Source organism: Homo sapiens, chromosome 14, assembly GCF_000001405.40.
Source record: "Homo sapiens chromosome 14, GRCh38.p14 Primary Assembly".
Taxonomy (NCBI): domain Eukaryota; kingdom Metazoa; phylum Chordata; class Mammalia; order Primates; family Hominidae; genus Homo; species Homo sapiens.
In genome coordinates, this window is record NC_000014.9 from 29,055,355 (window position 1) to 29,080,768 (window position 25,414).

Sequence of the window (25,414 nt, forward strand, 5' to 3'; positions counted from 1 at the left end):
TGACATGATGTGATGGACTTGCTTTAGGTCATATATTTCGACCAGGGTGGAGAACCTCTATTTTTTGCCTTGCTGCTCCAGGAAACAAAATAATCCTATGCACTTTCTTAATTTTTTAGCATTTTAATTGACAGGTAATAATTATACATATTTATAGGATATATTGTGATGTTTCCATATATGTATACATTGTATAATTACCAGGGTAATTAGCATATCTATCCCCTTAAACATTTATCATTTCTTTGCAGTAAAAACATAGAAAATCCACTCTTTTGGCTATGTTGAAATACACAATACATTACTATTAACTACCATTACCCTACTGCGCAAGAATACCAGAACTTATTCTATCTAATTGTAGCTTTGTACCTGTTGACAAACCTCTCCCCAGTGCCCCTGCCCCACCCCTCCCCAGCATCTGGTAACTACTGTTCTACTCTCTACTTCTATGAGATCAATATTTTTAAGATTCTGTATATAAGTGAGATCATGCGAGATCCTACCTGCTCTCTGTATTTGATATACCTAAGTCTGTCAGTGAACTTCTCCTGGACAATCGCTATTGAATCAAAAGCCCTGATCAACTGAATTTACCATGTTGCTACCTGGTAATTTTAAGCAATGGAAAAATAAATGACTGGTATGACTGGTTATAACTATTCTTTTCAGATGATATTAAAATGCTAAGGTATTAGAGATGTTTTTTCACAATGAGAGTCTTCCTTTTTTCTGGATCAGATACAGTAAACAAGAATCAAACACATGCAGAAATATGTAATTTAAAATTTTATGTTGCATTTCGTTGAAATGTTAACTGAATAATATTGCTTTGGCACATATGTTATATTCATGTCAATATGTTTCATATGCTAAAAAGATCTGTGCAAGAGTGCCTAGCCTTCCCTGTTTACAAAAGAACTAAACAGCTGTGTAAGTTCATGGAAGAAGAGACGAAACGAATTAAGAAAGTTTCAGGACCAGTTGAGATATTCAACCACACATATCTCATGAATGCTGTGGTCAGCAAATAAAATATACTTTTGAGGTTAATATTCACTGGATGCTCTAATTGAGAACAAGAACCATTTACTTGAACTAAATGTCAACTCTTTCGTTCTCTTTGTAAACCCACGTTAAATTTCTTCCATTTAGATTCTTTTTTAGACTCGATTTTGCCAACAGGTTAAACATACAATAATATTAAACTTATGATGATATATGTACTCACTAAATTACAGTGAACATTATGAAATGCATATTAATGTATGGCACTTGAGTATAGGAAGAATACTAAGGCTTTTTATAATGCTATATTTAGGTCCAGATTCTTAAATCAGTTGCTAGATTTAAAACCATATAAATATCCACAGCAATGGAGGAAAAAGCTACTGGGAATATTGTAAAAGCCTGTTAACTTCTTATAAATGCTAAATTCTTTTGAATAGCATTAGATTCAAATTTGGCCATAATATCTTAAGCTTTTTATTGCCATTATTTGTCTAACTTTAGTCAATATACTTTTTCCTTCTATTAGTCTCTCATCTTCGCAAATTAATTTTCGTCAATTCCTTAGCAAAAAAAAAAAAAAAAAAAAAAAAAACCAACAAAAAACAAAAAACAAAAAACCCACAGCAGAAAGGACAGCTCAACCCATAAGGTATCTAGAGAAGTTTGGAGTTTTTTTTCCATCAAAATATCCTCCACCTGACTGCTGTAGTTCCTGCAACCTACAGTAATGGATGAAATATTTCATTACAAAGATTTTTTAGATGTCTATGTTACCAGAAAAAGACATTAAATACCAATGGTTTGTGCCTAAATATTGCAAAGATAAAATGGTTTGCATTACAAATCATGTTGGCTCTGCAGTAAATTTAACTCAATATGTAAAGGAAATAAAGTTTATGCTATAGTTTCTTTATAAGCGGTTTGTTCTTTTTTCCTGCATAGTCAAAGAAAAGTTAATTACCTTTTTCATAAGCATTATTGAATACGTAAAATGTATACTGCTTTGTAAGGAGTGTCTTTATAAATGAAACCTATTCAGACATATTGGACAGCAAAAGCAGTAACTCATATCTTTGGATCTGAATAGCCAATTCTTGTTTGTGATCCTATAGGATAGGATTTCCTAGCTGTTAAGTGCCTTTTTATTTCTCTGAAGTGATCTTGGAAATGGAGTGCTTGAGATTTTTAGTTTATCTTGATACAAGCCAACATATTACTGCAGAACACTTTGGTTTTACATCTGAGGGCTAAATTACTATATCCTAGTAGATGTTGTGCTATCAAATTCTAAACAATGGTGACAAGATAATTATAAATGGGACTTTATATTATTATCTAATACATCTTATTATCTAATATATCCCATATAAAGTTTGGATTTGGATAAAGGAAAATTGAAAAATTTACTGAGTGATATTAATGGGGATATGAACATTTTATTTTTTGTTACCACTAAATATTGAGTAATTAATATGTTGATAGCATTGTGATATGTATAAATGGATATTGTTTTTTGTTATGTTTATGATTATAAATGTTATTCCAAATATGAATCAGACAGTTTATGTTTCTAATTTTTAAAACTCAAATTGGTAATAGCACAGATACATTTTGTTTTTATTTGCAGTAAGAATTTCTTTCTATAAATATAACTGATAGAAAGCAATTTATCACATTTAAACACATGGATGAAAATGCTGCCGCATACAGTGATTGGGACTTATTCTGAAAATAAATTACTTTAATGATGGGGGAGAAAACCCCAATGAGGAATTCATGAGGTGGAACCAGACAAAACTCTCCTAGACAACAATGAAAAACCTTTTAGGTATGAAGAAACTGTAATATAATGTGGCACTTGTAGGTACATTAAGATAAAACATCCAGGAGCCAGTACATTTTTTCATGCTGTCAGAGTATTCAACGATACATATGAGCTGTCGTACTTCAGCCATCAACAACCAAAAAAGCTTAGCATTTTAGAAAACAACTCTCCAATAGAAACAATTCAACTTCATACTTACAGGCATATGGATACTAACAGATTAAGTAAAATAGCAGTTGTCATCTTCTGAATCTTTACTACCTTTTTGTCACCTCTTTTTGACCAGAGCCCTATAGCCTATAGTCTCAATATTCTCATTTTCTGTTTCATAAGACTGAGAGAGTGAGCGAAAGAGAAAGATGGGAGAGGGAAATGAAGAATGAATCAGAAAAGTCAAGTACTAAAGGGCAACAAGAGTGTGTGCCTCTCAGAATTCTTAGTGATCCTCTCAGATTCCATTAGCATTGGGATTTACTACTGGTCAATTGGGGAAAGAGAAGCAGGAAAGAAAAATATTGAGAAAATGTGTGTGTGCATCACATTCCCCATGTTATGCTTTAATTTGCAGGAAATCCTAGAATCAGTTTGCATATAAAGCATTAATATGATGCCATCTTCTGCACATGAAGTCAAAAGAATCCGTGAATTTATTAAATGGAAATAAGAAGGCTCTATTAGTTTGGGCCTCCTAACTTCATTCAACCCCCACCAACACACACACACAAATGTTCTAATATACAGGATTTGGGTTTCCCTAATGTTTAGTGTTAATTCTATTTTATGATTCTAAGTTCAAAACTAGGAAAAAGTTTAGATTGGTGAGCTAGATAGTTAAATTCTATTAATAAAATTTCTTTTATATTTCATAGGAATTCATTCAATATCTTAAACTATAATGATATATATCTAACAATTATCAATGCTTCAACATTTTGCCCATTATATCTTCCTTCCCTCTAAGAAAAGGCATTTCATACTTATTGTTTACTTTTCATTGCAATGTACTTTTACAATGCCAGTGTTTACAGATAAAGCATTCATGAGATATGATTTCACCATGGGAATTTCAATACAGTTGTTATAAGGCTAAAATTATATACATATGTGTATATATGCATGTGTATAGATACACACATGTATATATAAAGCATTCATGAGATATGATTTCTCCATGGGAATATCAATGCAGTTGTTATAAAGCTAAAATTATATACATATGTATATACACACGTGTATATACGTATATATACATATATATGGTGGAAACATACACATACATAAATTTAATATGGTCAAAATATATTATTTTATGTATAAAGATATTTTGCCTTTACAGTTCTCACTCTTCATGTATAGAAAGTTAACAATTTTTCTCAGAGCACGGGGAGTGAATGGTTAGAACAGTTATGTAATAAATGCTTCATTGAAGTATATTTACTAATGCCATGTATCAAGATGTAAGCAAGACCCAGTTCTTGTCTTCAAGAAGCATATACTTTACAAGGAAGAGAGATAAAATTTTTAATTCCTTGCTATTCAGAATTTGATCTATAGACCAGCATCTGGTTATCACCTGAGAGCTTGTTAGAAATGCAGAATCTCAGGGCATACCCAGACCTACTGAATCAAGTTGCATTTTCACAAAATCCCCAGGTGGTTTGTATGTACATTATTGTTAGAGAAGCACCACTATAATTTGAATCTGAGTAGGGTTGCTTCCATAATATTTAGGAGAAAGAGAGAGATGGAGAAGCTTGAAGAAGGAGGGGTGGCATCATGGGAAAAAAATACCCTGTTATCTGAACTTTGTTCTTCACAGAGAGAGACCGCTAGTCAGGCACCTTTTACTAGCAGAAAAATAAATGTTTTCAAAGAAATATATTTTTAAAATGTTTTGGTTTACATATCATTGGGGAAAACAGTCATATGACTGTTACTAATATTTCAGTTTGACAGAAATATGTTTATATAGATCCAGATATAAAAGAAGTTTTACCTTTTGTTTTATTCATTGTAACTTTTATAGGGGAAGGAGTTGGCCAGGGTGGCTTCTAAGAATAGCTTTGCCAGCTAATGCAATTCCTCAGTTATGACTGTGGTGACAATATAGGTAACTTTTCTACTTCAAAATCTCTTGCCAGATTATATCTAAGTAGAACTAGTTCTCATAAAAATATCATTTGGAAACTAAGGCATTTCAAATTATTTTCATGTGTTTGCAAAGCTTCAACTAGATATAGGAATCAAGAATGTCACAGCAAGCTGGGTACAGTTGCTCATGTCTGTAATCCCAGCACTTTGGGAGGCTGAGGTGGGAGGATTGCTTGAACCCAGGAGTTCAAGACCAGCCTGGATGAGATAGCAAGACTCCATCTCTACAAAAAAAAAAAAAAAAAAAAAAAGCAGGGCAGGGTGGTGTGCACCTATAGTCCCAGCTATTCAGGAGCCTGAGTTGGGAGGTTCTCTTGAGCCAGGAAGTTTGAGGCTGCATGATTGAGCCTCCACTGTGCTCCAGCATGGGCAACAGAGTGAGATTCTATTACAAACAAGCAAACAAACAAAACCAATGTCACAGCAACATATTTTGATCAGGTCTATTTGCACTATCCCTCTGCTTCTTTCCATTGCTTTAACCATCCAGGACACTGTAACCAGAAGGGAGTCATCCTGGGAATTGGCCATATTTTCTATTTGCTTTGACTCTGCATATTATATCAGTGTGTTTGAACTTTATCTCTTCCACATGAAATACCAAGTAAGGGATTCCTTCTGAAATGTTTTTCTGAATGTGACTGTATGTACATATAAGTGACATGTAAGAATCATATATAAGGGGTGACAAAAATGTATATTAATCTATGATTCCATGGGTAAAATACAGATACAAAAGTAAAAACAAAATCTGTACTTCACAGAAAACGTTGGGTATTATGTTATTTTGAAATAATTCTTGCTAGGTCTTAAGAGTACTAAATTTACTTGTGATACATTCTAAAAAGGTGGTGATCTTTTGTGATATAATAACATTTATTATTAGGAGCCAAATTAGGAAAACAAATAGTTACAAAAGAAAAACCCGTATTGTTGGAATTAGATCCAGTTATTTTATTAATAATGATTTAATTAGGCATAGGCATTTTTAGCTTTTGCATGTCTTTTATTCAGCTTTCAGATCCAGTTTTAACTGGGTTATAATTCATTGCCACTGTTTATGTTTTTCATCAGTTCAATTGGGGGTTTCTTCCTGGGATGAAAAAATTCAGAGAGATTTGCTTGAACACAAAAACTGAATCTATAAATCAGAAAAGCTTACTAAGCTTTTACATACCATATAAGAATATCTTACAAACATCTCAATTTATTTTCTAACAAATTTTAAAAGTCTCAATAATTAATATATATTTCTAAATATCAAGTCCAATTAATCTTCTTCTGAATTACAATACCATTATTTTATACTTTTGTAGGATTTTTCTAAGCAGTGACTTTTATTGTAAATATATGATTAGCATTCATTCAGATGATACAATAGGCCTCATAAATTTCTCTTCTGCAAGTGCCAGTCACAAATTTGTTAAAGTTAAAATCTCTCTATTTATATTTAGCTAAGAATTGATGCTTGTTCAACTGGGATCTATCCAGAGAAACATAATCCACTTCAAGAATTTTCTGAAAAGGGAATCTAATGCAAGGAATTAATTGCAAAGATGATGCAATATCTGAGAACGATAGGTAAGAATAGTGTAACCTACAGATTAACAATATCCTTACACCCGGGGTCACCTTTGATGATACAACTATGCTGGGCATATACTGTGGAGGCTGGAATCACAGAAGAGACAAACTGCTTAAGGAGGGTTATTCTAACCACTTCCCTCCTCCTGCCCTCCATCTTCCACCTTCCATCTCCCATTGACTGACCCAAGACAGAAGTCAGCTGGCCTAGGAGCCCAAGGAAACTAGCCTTCAGGGACCAGAGGGTTGAGGAATGGATTTGCTGGCCAACAGGCTCAAGATCTGAAAAATAATCTTCCAGGGTTTTATAAACACATGTAAAAACTCAAGCTTTAAAAGCAATTTGTGGCAGTAGGAATGCACACTTTGCCCTCAAACCTAGCCCTCCTAAGAAATCTGGCACCTGCATTTTTCATTCATCAAAGAGGGCAGTGACTAGCAAAAGAAATCATAGCAGAAAGAGAATTATATTAATCAAAGCAATTTCTGGTGAAAGGAGGCACGGAAATCTCTAGGCAAGTTATAGAAAGAAATCTACACTCTTCGAACCTCTGAATTGAAAACAAAGCTTCAGATAACTATATGATTTGACAAAGATACCTCAAATTGCTCAGGAAAATCTCTTTCTTTAGAGTAATGTTTCAGGCTATTTAAAACAGAATCTCAGTCGAGGAACTAAACAAAGATGCTAGGATTGGACATAGAAGACAGATGAATTTGGCTGTTATCCATGTAAGAATAGAAGCCAAAATTATGCTGACTAAAAATGGAGCCAAGCGATGTCATATAGATTTGAAAACGATGTTGTGCCAAGGAAGATGTTAATGTTTTTCAATTTGCAGGTTTAGTAAGGATCATAAATTGTTTGATTTCTTAATCTAGTTTACGTATCCTAAATATCTCTGCGACTTTGCAAGGCCCTAATTTATTTCCTTTTTTTTTTTTTTAATTCTAGATTTGACAGTTTGGTCTACATTTCAAGGCTGGTTAGATGGGAGGTATGTCCTGGTATATTAGTTAATTTAGGTATATCTTACTGATTTACATTGCATGATTTATCAGATGCTATTGACTCATTCAAGTAAATACATTTAAAAATTATACCTTTTGCTCATACTAGTAATTGGGTCAGTCATGCTCTTGAAGGAGGCATACTGGGAGCCATACATTACCAGAGGCAGAGGATTCAATGGATGTTTTCTGTTTTCTCTTCTTCGTGCTCTGTAATTGAGACACAGAACAAAGGTAATCTTTGCTTAGCGTAATAATGGAGAGTGACTAGACCAACAAAAGATATGTCAGAATCATTTGCAAGGGTAAAACTTACGAGTGTATTTGTGAACCTGCTTGAACGCTCCAATGCACATGTGTCTGTACACAATTTCTGGCCTATTAACATTTCCTAATATTTTAAGCCTCTGAAATTATTGTTATAATATTTGGTATCCTTGGGTAAAAAATGACATTTAACTATAAAAAGAATATTTCATCAATCATTTAAAAGTTGCCATTATTTTCTTTATAAGTCTATGGATGATAACAAAAATAAAATTTTCCAGAAAATAAACTTCATAATTACTAATATTATATAATTAATTATATAAATAATTATAATTATTATATATATGAGTACTAAAGGTATATAAAATGGAGCAAAGTAGCAGAATTTTAAAAGTAGCATGACAAAATAAAGTAAATGGGATTAGAAAAATACATGTGTGTGTACTGTAGTTTGTTTTTATTGTTAGCAAAAGCAAAACAACCCAGAAAGTACCACTAAATGTTCAAGTTATATAATGCAGTGGTAATAATAATAATATATGCCAACATATTTTGTAATTATTATAAAATGATGCACATGCTAGTTATAATTATCTCTTTTGAGCCTAAAAATGCCCAAAAGAAAGAAAAACATTCAATAAACATTCAATTCTGTTATTTATTTCAATTGTTCTGCAATCAGAAATTCTAGCCAAGATTTGGAACCAATCTAAGTGTTCATAAACAGATGAATGGATAAAGAAAATGTGGTATGCATACACAATGGAGCACTATTCAACCATAAAAAAGAATAAGATGCAGTCAATTGCAACAACTTGGATGGAACTGAAGATAATTATGTTAAGTGAAATAAGGCAGGAACAGAAAGACAAACATCATATGTTCTCACTTATTTGTGGGATCTAAAAACCAAAACAATTGAACTCATGGTAATAGGAAGTTGAAGGTTATACCATTTTATCTGAAAATAGAACTTTAAGCCTTCTCTTCCACTTCGCCAAATCCCTGTTGTTAATGAGGCTTTATTACTATATTTCACATTAATAGAATTCAAACCACTTATCACTGATTGGGTTCCCCAATTTAAGAACCTGAAATCTACCTCAAAGTCTTAAGACACCATCTAAACCATATCTGCTATCTGCTATTATCTACTTATCTTAGTCTATTCGGGCTACTATAACAAAACACCATAGAATAGTGGTATGTAAATAACAGAGAGTTATTTCTCAGTTCTGGAGGCTGGGAAGTTCAAGATCAATATGCCAATAGATTCAGTGCCTGGTGAAGCTCTGCTTCCTGATTCATAGATAGCTGTCTTCTCAGTGTAACCTGACAAGGCCAAAGGCCGAGGCAACTCTCTCAGGCCTCTTTTGTAAGAGTGCTAATCCCATTTATGACAGCTCCACTCTCATGACCTAATAATTACCTCTCAACAGCCCTACCTCCTAGCAACATCACCTTGGGGGCTAGGATTTCAACACATGAATGTGGGGGAACACAGATATGCAGTCCATAGTGCTGCTCCTTATCAACTTGTAGTTAGTAAGGACAAAGTATATCAACGTTACCAGACCACATCTCTGGATTATTCACAGAGTCTGCTATTTCTGTTTGTACTACCAGACCTGAGAATATTTATGGTAATGTCTGTGGTCCTAGCTTCTTGTCTTGCCCATCTTCTCTCTCATCCTGTCTAATCATTTACAGGTCAATTCTCCCACTCTTACTTGTTGCAGCTCCCATTCCTGCTGACTTCTGCTTTGGGTCAATTGTGTGAGTATACCAGCACCAAGCTTCTCAGTGTTTACTCACCCTCTGTTGCCTCATCTGACTGAGCGTCCCTAATTGTACAGCGAAGGTACAGGCTTGGAAGGCATGAAAATGTTGGCATATAGAGAAGTGTCAAATACCTAGGGGTGATAAGAGTGCTGCGTTTAGAAGACAAATGATAGGAGATAAATTGGTCCTGGAGGTTGGGGCTTCTTACAGAATTGGGGGCCTCTGAATCTAAAACTTGTGCTCTTAACTGTTCTCCATTATTTCCCCCAGCTGGCCTATTAAACATCATCTATAAAAAAATCTATAATCTAGTTTAGAAACTAGCTTACTCAAAGACACAGAAGTTTGCTCTACCAAAGGTTACTAGGCAGGCATTGCAAAGTTATCTACAAAGACTAGATGGTAACATAAATCTGTAACTCTGTTAGATTCAGTGATACAGTAGCTCCATGATAAATATGGAGCTTCAAAATCTGGAGAATGGACATACCATCTAAACACAACTGAAGATTGTTGTCATGGGAAATGCCAACCAACATTGCCTGATATTCTCCTTTCACAGAGCTCCTGGAAGATCATTCCAGAAATCCTGGAAATCCAGATGTTAGTTACAAACAAACATTTAAAACTGGGCCAGCGTATTGAAAAACAAATAAATGTCTGTACTCCATATTTGACTCTCCAAGAGGCAGTTTACAGCCTCCGTTAGAAGACTTAACACATTTATTTGTCTAAGACTAGACAAAGAGCTTAGTCCACAACTGAAATACACTTAAAAACAGCAACAAAAACAATCATGCTGCTTAAAATCCTTCAGTGGCTTTGAACTCTGATTGATGTGAAATCCAGCATTCTTCATAGCCCAAGTCTTCACATGATCTGGCAACTTCCCGATTCCCCAGCTTCTGGGCAAGCTGCTGTCCTCTTTGCTTGCCATGGTCCACCTATAACAATCTTCTAGCTTTTCAGAAATGTTAAGCTCTTCCCATCTCAGGTAGTTTCACATTATTGCCTCTGCTTAGAATGCCTTTCCTCTTCTTTTCAACTGTTGAAATCTTTTTTCTAGTTTTAAATTTCTTATTGATGCACAATATTTGTACATATTGAGGAGGCACATGTGATTTTTTTTACATGCATAGAATGTGTAATGATCAGGTCAAAGTATTTAAGATAGGCCTCCTCTAAAGCATTTATCATTTCCATGTGTTCCAAACATTTCAAATCCTCTCTGCTTGTATTTTGAAATATAACATACATTGTTGCTAATTATAGTCACCCTATTATGCTATAAAACATTAGAACTTATACTTTCTAACAGCTTGGTACTCATTAATCAATCTCCCTTTATTCCTCCCTCCTCTCCCAACATCCTTCTCAGCCTTTAGTACCTATCATTCTACTCCCTACCTCCATGAGATCAACTTTTTTTGCTCCCACATGTGAGTGAGAAGATGAAAGATTTGTCTTTCTGTGCCTGGCTTATTTCACTCAACATAATGACCCCCAGTTCCATCCATATTACTGCAAATGACATGGTTTCGTTCTTTTTCATTACTGAATAGTATTCCATCATAAATGTAATATATGTACATACACACACACACACGTGCACGCATGTTCTATAGCTGTCCTCACTGTTCTATAGCTCCATAAGGACAAGGACTGTCTTCATGGAGTGGTGTGCCTTCCACACAATTTGTGCTCATGATTAGTTGAATAAATAGATGAGGGATTTATCTGTTTCTAAATTCTGCATTGCATTTAGCATTTCTTGGGAGATTTAAACAAGTCAGTTCAGGTAACAAGTTTAGCTCAGTGCTAGGAATATAGTAGTGGCTCAATTAAATGTTAGAAATAATTAGATGTCTGTTTTAACTTCCCTGATCAGAAACAGAAAATAAAAATGATGACACAAAAATGCAACTTATATTTTATAATGCGATTCTCATGATATCTTAGAGTGGATTTGCCGAAAAGCAGACCGTGAGGCAGGATATAAGTGCAAGGTGATAAGCCTAGGAAGCATAGTCATGGAGTAGGAAGGTGAGCCCGGGAAAGGAGGCAAGCCAGCAAAGGGCATGTTAATTGAGTAGATCACCCCTGGGCTCAGTCCTCCTTGGGGACCCTCTGAGAGACTGTGTTGAACCTAATCTCAGAGTTGTTCCATGAATGAGCAAGAAAACTAGCTTATTTAAGTACCATCTTCTGTCCCTCACTGGCTGGGAGTTGCTCTTTGGAGGCCCCCCTGCCACTAAGGAGCGTCAGATGCAAATCTTTACGCCTTTTTTTTTAACTGATTGATTTAGCTCTGTTTTTGCCATGATCTTTGAAGTTCTTTTTAAGAATCACATGTGCTTTCTTCATAATAAATGTTTATTTTTGCTAGCATTATCTTAAATTTGTACAATATTTTATTAAGGAAATTTGGTAATGTGTAGCAAACAAACAAATGCACTTTGATCCACATAAGTCTACCTCAAGATGCTTTTCCTAAGGCGATAATTATGAATATGTGCTAATATTTTTGTCTTATTTTACAAATATTATAATTCTTGTAGACATTTAGAAAACACTGAAAATATGTACAAATAAAGTTATCAGCACTGCCACAGCACAAAAATACTATTTATATTAGAAATAATTTTTTTAATTGAAATGACACTATATATGCTGGAATTGTCTACATTTTTAAATGATGAACATTTTCTCATGGTTTTAAATATTTTTCATAAAGTTCGTTAGTAATAATGTATTGTCCTGAAGCATATTTAAACAGAACATACCAAATTTTCAACAGATACATAGCAGTTCTGTAACATTCTATCTAGGGCTTGAGTACCCAACAAATGGGGGTGGGGAAGGGCAATTAAAGAAGAAGGGAGTTAGTGTCACACCAAAATATTTATTTCCTTGATAAATCATTCAGGTCGACTCTAGATGTTTGTCATGATTGGGGGTCTCAGGTAGTCTTGGTTAAGCAGCCTCCCCTGGGGCAATTTCTCTTCTTTGGTACGATTCATGGGAAAGATGGGTCTTAGACACCATCTGCCGCTCCAGTGGTTTATTTTGGCAGTGCTTTTTCAAGACACAAGAGCAGGCTGGTGGCATGGGCTAGATATAATCAGGTAGTCAGATGACCAGCTGACCAGGAGGGTCTCCATGTGGAGATCATTTTCAGAATTTGGGGGATTCTTTTCCTTTTCTTATACCTGTATGCAATCTAAGTCAGTTTCCAGGTGTTTCTTTCATAACGGGAATTTAAGCCTATTCTTGTAAGGGTGAGCTTGTTTTAAGGTTTATAAAAGTTGCAGCTGTGCTGAGATGGAGTTGTCTTCTGGAAATCCCCCACTGAGTTTCATCATACTGCTAAGTGACATGTAGTGTCATCCCTGCAAGAAACTTGAGTGGGGCTTATGGCTATCATTAATCTTACAGCCATGGACGTCTCTTGTAGTGTACCATAATATTTGTGTATAATGTTCTTGGTGCCAAGCCTACATGCCCTACAGTACGTCAGTGGTTTTATTATGATGTATTTCCGTGACTTCCTCCTTTTCCCTCTTCAACTCCATGTTTTGTCATTTCCCATACCAATGACAACTCAGCATATGGTATAAAGACATCCATACTCGTCTTGTCTTATTTTGTACCTTCTACATTCTGTGCACATTTCTGACTCCCACTTTTCCTCCCCCTCTTTCATCTAGGGCTAGTTCCTCCATCTTTGCTCTGGTTCCCTTTCTTTGTACGTAGGATCATTGATTCTCTCTAATCAGCATTTAAACTTGTGAAGTATCTTCTGTCTTAAAGCAAAAGAAACCAAAATTCTCTCCTCATATTCAAATTCTCTAGTCACTAACCCAATTGTGTTTCTGTTCACAACAGAAAAATATTTTTGGTTTCCTTATTATTTATTTTTTCTGAGACCAAGTCTTGCTCTGTCGCCCAGGCTGGAGAGTAGTGGCAGCACGATCTTGGCTCACTGCAACCTCCACCTCCTGGGTTCAAGCAATTCTCCTACCTCAGCCTCCCAAGTAGCTGGGATTATAGACATGTGCCACCATGCTGGCTAATTTTTGTATTTTTAGTAGAGACGGGGTTTCACCATGTTGGCCAAGCTGGTCTCAAACTCTTGGGCTCAAGCAATCTGCCCCACTTGACCTCCCAAAGTGCTGGGATTACAGGTGTCAGCCACCGCACCCAGCTGGTTTCCTTATTTTTAAATTTTTTCAATTTTTAATTGTTATGGGTACATAGTAGGTGTATCTGTATATGGGGTGTATGAGATATTTTGATACAGGCATACAGTGTGTAATAATCACAAGGTAAATGGAGTATCCATCACCCCAAGCATTTATCATTTCTTTGTTTTACAAACATTTCAATTATACTTAATTTTAAAACATAATAAATTATAGTTGCCCTGTTGTGCTATCAAATACTAGATCTTATTCATTCTATCCAACTATATTTTTGTACCCATTAACCATCCCCACTTTCCCTCCAACCCCCACCACCCTTCCCAGCGTCTGGTAATGATCATTCTACATTTTGTCTTCATGAGTATAATTGTTTTAAATCTTAGCTCCCACAAATGTGTGAGAATATGTGTAGTTTGTCTTTCTGCAGTTTTTGAAAGAGATTACTCCATTTACTGTTCTCAATTTCTCATCCTTTACTCATTCCTCAACCTTTCATGATATGTCTGCTCCTGTCTAAGCAACCTGCTTCCAGCAAGACTGCTAATCACACCCTTACATTGAAATTCATTTGTAGCTGACAGCGTTTTTTATTCCTCTTGGCTACCATAATACTACACTTCTTGTTTTTGTTTGTCTTGTTTCGTTTTGTCTTGGGCAGGCTCTAGCTTCTGAGCTCCCTTTGTATCCTGTCGATCTCCATATATTTTATGATTTCTTCCTCTGCCTGCCCCTTACATCTGTCTGGTCCTCAGGAATCAGTGCAGGGCCCCTTTAAGTCTCATTTTACACATATTACGATACTTTCAAAACTTCAGCTCTTAGTTATTTGTTAATGACTCCAAAATCTGTAATCCTATCCCAGTTGCTTTTTCTGAGCTCCATGCACATCTATTCATTCATTCATTCAAAAAAAAATTTCCAGCGAGTGCCTATTCTGTGCAAGCAAATTGCTACATGCTGAGAACACCATGATGAGCAAGGGACAAACGCTTCCATGTTGGTGGTGAATACAGCCAACAAATAAGTAAGCAAATAAATAAGCAAAGGGACTAAGAAGCTGCTCTGGTCAAATAATCAGGGAGATACTTTGGATAGACTGTGCTTGAAGCTGAGAAGAGTTAAAACCAAGTAAAAATGCCTGTTCAAGAAGATCCCATGATGAAACAGCAAGCTCAAATGCTTTGAGGCGAGAAAGAAGTTGATGGGTTTGGGGAAGTAAACAGAGATCCAAGCCTGGATATGGTAATTAGAGTAGGAGTAGTAGGATATGATGTTGAAGAAGTAGGTAGGAATCACGTAAGGGTGTGTGGGCCATAATCTGGAATTTAGGTTTTACTTTAAAGACAATGCAAAGCCACTGAATCATTTTTGGCAAGAGAATAACACTTTGTTATTATTGTTGTTAAGTATTTTATTCTCTTTAAGAGGTTTTATATCATAACAAACTTGAGAGAAAGGTACAGATATATCCCCATATACCCTCTGCCCCCCAAAATACATAGGTACATTAAAATAAAAACTTTTTATTTAAGTAAAATTAAGCTAGAGAAAACTACAGATGCCACTGAGTTTTTGTAAGTTTTGTGAGTACATCCATGTAGCTAGTATCTGGGCCTAATAATGAAACACTACTCCTATCCCAGATGTCCTCTCATGTTGTCTTCTAGTCACTACCTGTCCCCTGCTCAGAGTAAACACAATCCTGACTTCTAACATGGATTAATTTAATCTGTTTTGTACTTTATATGAATGATATCATACAGTATGTGCTATTTTATGTCTGGCTTCTTTCTTTCTATATTCTGTCTCTGAAAATATCCTATGTCATTATGTCTAGTGGTATTTTCTTCATTCCCATGCTGCAAAGCAGTCCATTTTGTGAGTATTCTGCAATTCATTTATCCATTCAAATGAAAATGGGCCCTTGAGTAGTTCCCAGTTTGGGAAAATTATAAATACTGCTGTTATAATCAACCTAGTACATGTCTTTTGTTGAACATAAGCATTCATTTGTTGGAAATATACCTAATAGTGGATTTGGGGGCAAAATTTTATGCATATGTTCACTTTTATTAAAATCTATCCACTTTATGGAAAAATTAATATATGTGTATATATGGATGTATATTTAAATGTACAAAGATATATGTGTATATATTTAATTATTTATGTGGAAAGTATTTCAAATGTACAGAAGAGTTACAATAATGTTTTACAGAATATCCATACTCCTTTATTTAGTATCAAATATTGCTAATATTTTGCCCCATCTTCTTTGTCATTTGCTGTCTTTATTTATATAAATTTTACTTTTTCTGTACCATTTGAGGGTAACTTACATACATGATTGTATTAATCCATTCTCATGCTACTATAAAGAACTACCTGTGACTGGGTAACTCATAAAGAATAGAGTTTTAATTAACTGACAGTTCTGCATGGCTTGGGAGGCCTCAGGAAACTTATAATCATGCCAGAAGGGGAAGCAAACACATCCTCCTTCACAGGACGGCAGGAAGGAGAAGGGCCGAACAAAGAGGGAAAAGCCCTTTATAAAACCATCAGATCTCATGAGAATTCACTCACTACAATGAGAACAGCAGCGCAGGGATAACTGCCCCCATGATTCAATTACCTCCCACTGGGTCCCTCCCACAATATGTGGGGATTATGGTAACTACAATTAAAGATGAGATTTGGGTGGGGTCACAGCCAAACCATATCATTCTGCCCTGGCCCCTCCAAAATCTCATGTCCTCACATTTCAAAATCAATCATGCCTTCTCAACAGTACCCCAAAGTCTTAACTCATTCCAGCATTAACCCCAAAGTCCAAATCCAAAGTCTCATCTGAGACAAGACAAATGCCTTCCACTTAAGAGCCTGTAAATTCAAGTTAGTTTCTTCCTGGATACAATGGGGTACAGACATTGGGTAAATACACTCATTCAAAATGGGAGAAGTTGGCCAAAACAAAGGAACTACAGGCCCCATGCAAGTCCAGAATTCAGTGAGGCAATCAAATCTTAAAGCTCTGACATGATCTCCTTTGACTCCATGTCTCACATGTAGGTTATGCTGACACAAAAGCTAGACTCTCACAGCCTTGGACAGCTCCACCCCTGTGGCTTTGCAGGGTACAGCCCCCATCCCAGGTGCCTTCATAGGCTGGCTGGGTTTCTGTGGCTTTTCCAGGTGCCCAGTGCAAGCTTTGGTGGATCTACAATTCTGGGGGCTGGAGGATGGTGGCCCTCTTTTCACAGCTCCACTAGGCAGTATCCCAGTGGGGACTCTGTGTGAGGGCTTCAACCCCACATTTTCCTTCTGCACTGCCCTAGCAGAGGCTCTCCATGAGAGCTCTGCCCCTGCAGCAACTGTCTGCCTGGACATCTAGGTATTTCCATACATCCTCTAAAATCTAGACAGGGGTTCTCAAACCTCAATTCTTGACTTCTGTGCATCCACAGGCTCAATACCACATGGAAGCTGCCAAAGCTTGGGGCTTGGACCATCTGAAGACATAGCCCAAGCTATACCTTGGCCTCTTTCAGCCACATCTGGGATGCAGGGCACCAAATCCCTAGACTGCACAAAGCAGCAAGGCCCAGGGCCCAGCCCTCAAAGCCATTTTTCCTCCTAAGCCTCTGGGCCTGTGATGAGAGGAGCTGCCATGAAGGGCTCTGACATGCTGTGGAGATATTTTCCCCATTGCCTTGGTGATTAACACTTGGCTCCTTGTTACTTATGCAAATTTCTGCAGCTGGCTTAAATTTCTCCTCAGAAAATGGGTTTTTCTTTTCTATCACCTTGTCAGGTTATAAATTTGCTAAACTTTTATTTCTTTTATTTATTTAACTTCCCTTTAAACATAAATTCCAATTGCAAATCATATCTCTGTGAATACATAAAACTGAATGCTTTTAACAACACCCAAGTCACATCTTGAACACTTTGGTGTTTAGAAATTTCTTTTGCCAGATACCCTAAATCATGTCTCTAAAGTTTGAAGTTCCATAGATCTCTAGGGCAGGGGCAAGATGCCACCAGTCTCTTTGTTAAAACATAGCAGGAGTCACCTTTATTCCAGTTCCCAATAAGATCCTTATCTCCATGTGAGTCCACCTAAGCCTGGACTTTATTGTCTATATTACTATCAACATTTTGGTCAAATCCATTCAATATGTCTCTAGGATGTTCCAAACTTTCCCACATTTTCCTGTCTTCTTCTGAGCCCTCCAAACTGTTCTAACCTCTGGATATTACCCAGTTCCAAAGTCGCTTTCACGTTTTTGGGTATCTTTACAGCAGGACCTCATTACCCAGTACGAATTTACTGTATTAGTTCATTCTCATGCTCCTATAAAGAACTGCCCAAGACTGGGTAATGTATAAAGGAAAGAGGTTTAATTGATTCACAATTCTGCATGGTTGGGAGGCCTCAGGAAACTTACAATCTTGGCAGAAGGGGAAGCAAACACATATTTCTTCACAGGATGGCAGGAAGGAGGAGTACCAAACAAAGAGGGAAAAGCCCCTTATAAAGCCATCATATCTCGTGAGAACTGACTCACTAACACTAGAACAGCAGCATGGGGGTAACCACCCCCATGATTCAATTACCTCCCACCGGTTTCCTCCCACAACACGTGGGGATTATGGAAACTACAATTCAAGATGAGATTTAGCTGGCAACGCAGCCAAACCATATCAATAATGTTCTTTTACTTCTACATGCTATACTATATATTACCTAAAATTAAGACTTTTAGTATACAAAACCATGGGACAGTTATCCATTCAAGTAAATTTAACATTGATACATAATATTTTTCCTAATCTTTTGCTGGTATTCCAGTTTTGCTAATTTACTAATAATGTCTTTTAAGCATTTTAAAATTCCAACATAGGCTGAAATATTGCATTTAGTTTTTATCTTTTATACTCCTTTATTCTAAGACAGTTACTCTGCTTCTTTTGTCCCATATGACACTGAAATTTTTGAAGTACACAATCTCACGTTTTAGTAGAATAATTATCACTTTTGAGTTGTCTGATAATTCTCCATGGTTAATTTCAGTTTATGCTTTCCCAACATGCATAAGTGATGTTGTATCCTTTTCAGGTTTTCTCACGGAGAGATACACAATATATATTTGCTCCACTCAAGATTGTCTGATTCTCCAACATTATAGTTATTAGTTTTTCCTTGCTACTAAACAATGTGGGGACACATTTTAAGATAATGCAAGTACCTGTCTCCTCATCAAAATTCAGAAAAAAAAAAATGGCCTGGTGCAGTGGCTCACACCTGTAATCTCAGCTTTTTGGGAGGCCAAGGTGTTGGATCACTTCAGGCAAGGAGTTCGACTGGCCAACATGGTGAATCTCTGTCTCTACTGAAAATACAAAAAATTAGCTGGACATGGTGGTGCGTACCTGTAGTCCCAGCTACTTGGGAAGCTGAGGCATAAGAATCCCTTGATCCCATGAGGCGTAGGTTGAAGTGAGCCGAGAGTCGGCCACTGCACTCCAGCCTGGGCAGCGGAGTAATACTCTGTCTCAGGAAAAAAAAAAAAAAAAATCCACGCCCTCTAAATTTAGCATCAGTTGATGTTTCCTGCCTGAAATAATCTTTGGAGTGATATTTGCAAGGTAATAATTTTACAGCTCTAGCACTCCCTTTATATTTATGAATCAGCACTCAACATTCTACTATAAACAAGAGTCTTTCTTTTGTCTTTTATGTTTATTTATGATTGCATGATATATATTTTTAAAGGATAACTTTGCCGCTCAGAGTATGTTTTAAATGGGGCAAGAGTAGAAGGAAGAGAGATCAATTATCTGGCTATGATAAAAAGTTTAAGAAAGAGATAATAATATCTCCAATAAGAATGGCAGCAAATCAGATGGGGATAAATGGGTCAATTTGAGATATGTTTGGACTTCAAGTAAATAAGATTTGTTTAGATATATAGGATGAGAGATAGGTTTCATTCCTGAACAACTAGATAGAGTTGCCATTGCAGGAAGATAGGAGAAAAGCAGGGTTTGGCAAAGAGAAGATTGATTTCAGGTCTGCCAAATTTAAAACAGTTATCATACACTGAAATGGAGAGGTTAAGTAGGCAGTCACATAAACTAGTTTGTAATTTAAGGTTTTGTCTATACTGGAGATATATATTTAAGAGCCAAGATCCTATCGATGATATCTAATTATTAATGATAAGAAGGTCTAGGATAGACCCTGAGCAGGGTAGAGAGAGAGTCAGCAAAGAAGTCTTAGAAGAGCATCCAATAAGGCAGAGGAAACTAGTAGAGTACTTTCTTATGGAAGTGCAAAAAGGAGAATGTTTCAGATTCAAGCCAACTGGGTGAAATATATTGAGTTCTGCTGACAGCTGTTGAAATATTCAGTTGGCTACATAGATATGCCCACTTGGATGTATCACAAGTATCTCCAGAAAGTTTGAGTTATCTTAGTCTTTTCTACATCCACCTTTAATCTATCATAAAACTCCTTTTGACTCTACTTTCAAAACATATACTGAATAAAACATCTCACCACTTCTGCTACCCTTTCCATCTAAGCTATTGCTATTACTCAAGTAATTGCACAGCTTCATAGTCTCCATCTTTACATCTTATGTCCCTTTGGTTAATGTTGAACATTGAATGATCCAGTTAAAATATAACTCATCTTATACCACTTATCAGTTCTCACTCAGGACAAAAGCCAATGTACTTACAATGACCTAGAATACATGAGCTGGCACATGCCACACTACTTCACTGACATCATTTCCTGCAACTTTACCTCCCATTATCTTTTCTCCAGCCACAATGGCTGTCCTAGGACATGCTAGGCAACATCTCACCTCAAAGCTTTTTAGGAAATCTTTCATATGGATGGCAAATAAACACATAAAAAGATGTTTGACATTACTAGCCATTAAGGAATTGCAAATTGAATCACAACGAGACAACACTATACAGCTATCAGAATGGTTAAACAAACTGTAATGGCAATACGAAATGCTGGCAAGGTTGCAAAGAAACTTGATCACTCATACATTGCTGATGGGAATGTAAAATGGTACAGACATTCTGCAAAACAGTTGGGCAGGGTTTTATTTTTATAAAATTAAACATGCAATCCAGCAGTTGCTCTCTTGAGCACTTTCTCCCAGAGAAATAGAAACTTATGTTCAAGTAAGAACCAGTATACAAATGTTTATAGCAGCTTTATTCACAGTAGTTAAAAACTGGAAACAACGCAAATCTCTTTCAATGGAGTGAATGTTTAAACAAACTGTGGTACATCCAGATCAAAGAATATTACTCAGAAATAAAAATGAACAAGCTATTGATAAATGCAACAACTTCAATGAACTTTAAAAGGATTATGATGAATGAAAAATGCCAATCCCAGAAGGTAATATATTGTATAATTCTACTCATTTAACATTCTTGAATGGCAAAATTATAAAGATAGAGAGCAGATTAGTCATGGTCAGAGGTTAAGAATGGGAAAGATGGCAGAAGGGGGGTGGATGTGATTATAAAAAGGAAGCACAACAGATCCTTGTGGCAATGGCACTGTTTTGCATATTTAATATGATGGCATTTACACAAACATACATATCTGTTAAAATTGCATACAGCTAATTAAACACATGCACATACATGTGTATAAAATTGGGAAAATATGAAAAAGATCAGTGGATTATATTGTGTGTGTGTGCGTGTGTGGTTTTTTTTTTTTTTTTTACTTGTGACATTGTTCCTTATTTTCACAAGAGGTTATCAGGGATTGAAATTGAAATTGAATGAAGAGTACACAGGATCTTTCCATATGATTTCTTAGAACTTCATGTGAATCTATACTTATCTCAACATTTTAAAAAGGGTTAATTCGAAACCTTTATTTTCTGTTTTTTTTTTCTGTGTAGTATTCTAATGTATGCATATATCTCAATTATAAATTTGAATTGTGATATACGTTTGCTTTTTCTTCCACTTTTGACTAATATGAATAATGTTTTTAATAAATAATCTATACATATATTTTAATGTACATCAGGATATCTCAGCCTTGACACTATTGCCATTTTGGTCTAAAAATTCTCTTTTGTTGGGAGTCTCTACTGTATGTTGTAAGATGTCTAGCAGCATTACTGGTGTCTACCAATTAAATGCCAGTAGCACCTCCTCTCCAAATTTTGAAAGTCAAATATGTCTCTAGATGTTACCAGATACATTTTGGGGACAAAATCACTCCTGACTGAGCACCACTGATTTACATAGCTGTACACTTTTCAACGGCGTAAAAGTGGAGTGGAATTGCTCTTAATCATTACCTTTAAATCAAGATAGAGAATGTGATTTGTTTTTCCAAAATTATTTCACCCATTTGTATGCCCATCACCCATTTGTATAAAAATTACCATTTTTTGTATCCTTGTCAGCATTAGGTATTATCAGACTTTTAAATTTTATCCATTCTGTTATACTGGCAGTGAAATCTCATTATCAATTTAATTTGCATTCTTTCATTATTAATGAAGTTGTCCATCTTTTTAAAAGTATCTTTATTGGTCACTTGAATCTACTCTTTCATAGTGTCTGCAGATCTTTTGACTGTGCTTCCATGGGTTTAAATATTTATAACTTTTGTTGCAGTTTTGTAAAAAATTATTTTAATGCATTTTGGATATAAGCACCCTGTGTGTTGTGTCTGCACACACATACACATACACATACGCATACACACATATCATATTTTCTCCCACTCACTGGTTTCCCTTGACAATGTGGTTTCACAGTAGGAAGATGCATAGACCAAGAATAGCTAGAACATTCTTGAAAAAGAAGAAGGTGGAAAAACCTGTTCTATTGAATATCAAGAACTACTGAAGACACATTAACCAAGAGAGTCTGGCATTGGCCCAACCGTAAATAAATAGACCAGAGGAAGAAAATAAAAAACCCAAAACAAACTCACACATATTCAGATGCTTGATTTGAGAGGAAGATCACATTACAGAGGAATGTAAAGACTCATATTTCAATAAATGGACATGGGAAATTAGTATATATTTGGGAAGATGAAACATAATTCCTACAGTATACCATACACAAAAATCAATTTCTGATAATTTATGAACCTAATTTGAAACAATAAAGCATTTAGGAGATAATATTTCTAAAATCTTAATAAACTTGGACTTCCTGTTGGAAACTAAAACTCTAATAAACTTGTTGGAAACTGGCTCTTAAATGGGACACAAATTTGACTACTTTAAATTAGGAAGTATTTATCAGCACTTCATTACTTGCTGTTCCCCTGCCTGTCCACATAGCTCACTCCCTCCCTTTCTTTACTGTCTTTCTCTCAGTGAACCTGTTTTTGACCTCCCTATGCAAAATTGTGGTGCTCCCTCTCCACCACCATTCACAGTCCCCATCCTCCGCTCCTGCTTTGTTTCTCCTCAGCATTCAACAACCCTCTAACATGGTGAAGCTCCTGGATGGAAGACATCTTTGCCTTTTTTATTTTAATGCTGTATTCTCAGTACCTAACTCAGCAGTAATTGGCAAATAGGAGACACTAAATAAACAGGAGTTGAAAGAATAAATATTCCACTTACATACTATCTCTTATATCTCTTATTTTCATCTTTTGTTTTTCATATACCCAGTGCCCAAACAGAAACCTGTGTATGGCATCAGATGGTTCTCTGACCTGCCCTTCATAAACAACCAGGTTTCAATGTATCTTAAATGTGTTTCTATTTTTATCCACTGATTTCCCCCAGTCCAGGATGTTGTCATTGCTAAGCTAGACTACTGTAGCCACCCTGGTTGGCCTCACTCCATTGTACTTCCCCCTTTGAAATAATCCCTTCTCTGCAGTCTGAATGATACATTTCTTAATACTGACTAAAGGAAAACCTCTAATGCAATCTCACCCATTGTCCTCAAGATGAAATTCATGCTCTTTACTGTGGTTCTCAAAGCCTTCATATCTTCATTTACCAGCTTCATCCTTAACCTATTCCTATTCCTTTTCCTACCCTTCCTACTCTCACCCTACCCTATTAGATTCTTGTTCATCCCCCTATCTTTTCTCTTGGCAGATCTCAACTTGAATATTTCTTCCAAGCTGTCTTCGCATTCTGCCGAAGTCCTGGTTGAGTTGTTTTGCTCTTTTCCTGGTATACTCCCAGAGCCACCTGAACTTCCTCCCTGACACTTTATCACACAATATTTGATTGCTGGATACTTCCCTGTGGGTGTGTCCCACACCGAATGTAAATAAGATGACCATAAGGACCATGACTGGCTTGGCCTTGATCCTAGCAGAATCCCGGGTTATTTAGGTCTCAGCAAATATTGAATAGGGTCTGCTTTCCTCTATAGAAAACTCTGAGTTTGCAACAGAGAGAATCTACTTAAAATAGTGTGAAATTTAAAAGAAAATAGAGCACTAAGGCCAGAATTGATATCTTTGTGTAGATAATTACATGAACATATGTGATCCGCATAGTCAAAATAAGAATTTTCTAGAAATCATTAATAATTTTAATATTAAAATTCTTATAATTATTGTTAAAGAAGACAACATTGAAACAAATTGATAGGGTTATTTTTCTTTTATGTTTTCTCAGTATTATCATTACTTTCAACACCCAAGAATGGCACAAATGTAGACATAAAATGTTAATGATCATGCAATTTCAATTTCAAGCAATTTGGATTTTGTCTATTCTTGGAAAAATTATTTTGAATTTAAGTAAAAGTTTAACCTGTTTGAAATGGACCTCATAGTAATGGATTCGAAATAATGTCTAAATGTAAAATAGTGTTTCTATTTCTGGTTATCATTAACTTTGGAAATCAAAATATACAATTGCTTGCAAAGAGATGACCACCTCAAAATATCTAGGTAGGCTGCTTTCAAGGTGTGTCCTTTTTTCTAATTTGCTATTCCAGAAAATATGAGAAGAAATTAATTCAGTGCAATTCATAACTGCAGGTAAAAAGAGATGTATTAAATCAAGGCACTTTCCAAAACCATATCCTTCCTAAAACGTGGCATATTTCTCCTAAACTGAATATGGCAGCAAAACTAAAGGCAAAAGTCATTTTGTATACTCCTGAATATGGAACAAAACTGCTCTTCAATTCAGGGCTTACTCTATAGTAGTAGTAGTGTCTGATAATAGGGAAATGCTTGACAACAGTTCTGACAATGACTGAGGAGGATGCAGTGACAAGGGTATACTTAGGCACATATGGTGGGAACTGACCCTTATTCAGAGTTTCTGGAAATTGATATGATCCCAGATTGACAAAATTGCAGGGTATGATCTGCCTCTGGAGTCCAGGGAGGTTCCTCAGGGAGAGCCTGGTGCTAGGACATATGTATCATGACACTTGCAGAAGACAGCTGAATGGGCAAGTGTGATACAAGTTGTCTGACCGTCACAGAAAGCAAGACATTTTTCACCTTTCAGTGAGTGAGGGGCATCCCTCATGCAGAAACATTAGCAAATCACACCAATGTAAATGGTCA

The 25,414-nt window shown here is 35.9% G+C and overlaps 2 long non-coding RNA genes across 10 annotated transcripts in view; one reads left to right on the forward strand and one right to left on the reverse strand.

The window, feature by feature from the left end:
- LINC02326 (long intergenic non-protein coding RNA 2326) overlaps positions 1-9,701 on the reverse strand; it is an 89,407-nt gene extending 79,706 nt beyond the window's left edge. For both annotated transcript variants that reach the window (NR_184206.1, NR_184205.1), the window contains exons 1-2: positions 9,583-9,701; positions 7,676-7,792 (exon numbers count right to left, since the gene is read on the reverse strand). This is a non-coding gene — a long non-coding RNA (long intergenic non-protein coding RNA 2326). The remainder of the gene's footprint in view (positions 1-7,675; positions 7,793-9,582) is intronic.
- LOC107984685 (uncharacterized) overlaps positions 1-25,414 on the forward strand; it is a 216,619-nt gene that overhangs the window by 84,066 nt on the left and 107,139 nt on the right. For 5 of the 8 annotated variants that reach the window (XR_007064101.1, XR_001750697.1, XR_001750694.2 and 2 more), the window contains 2 exons: positions 6,442-6,568; positions 7,527-7,816. This is a non-coding gene — a long non-coding RNA (uncharacterized LOC107984685). Of the gene's footprint in view, positions 1-6,441; positions 6,569-7,526; positions 8,135-25,414 lie in introns of those variants that run through there. The other 3 variants (XR_001750699.2, XR_007064100.1, XR_007064099.1) reach the window with 3 other exon arrangements.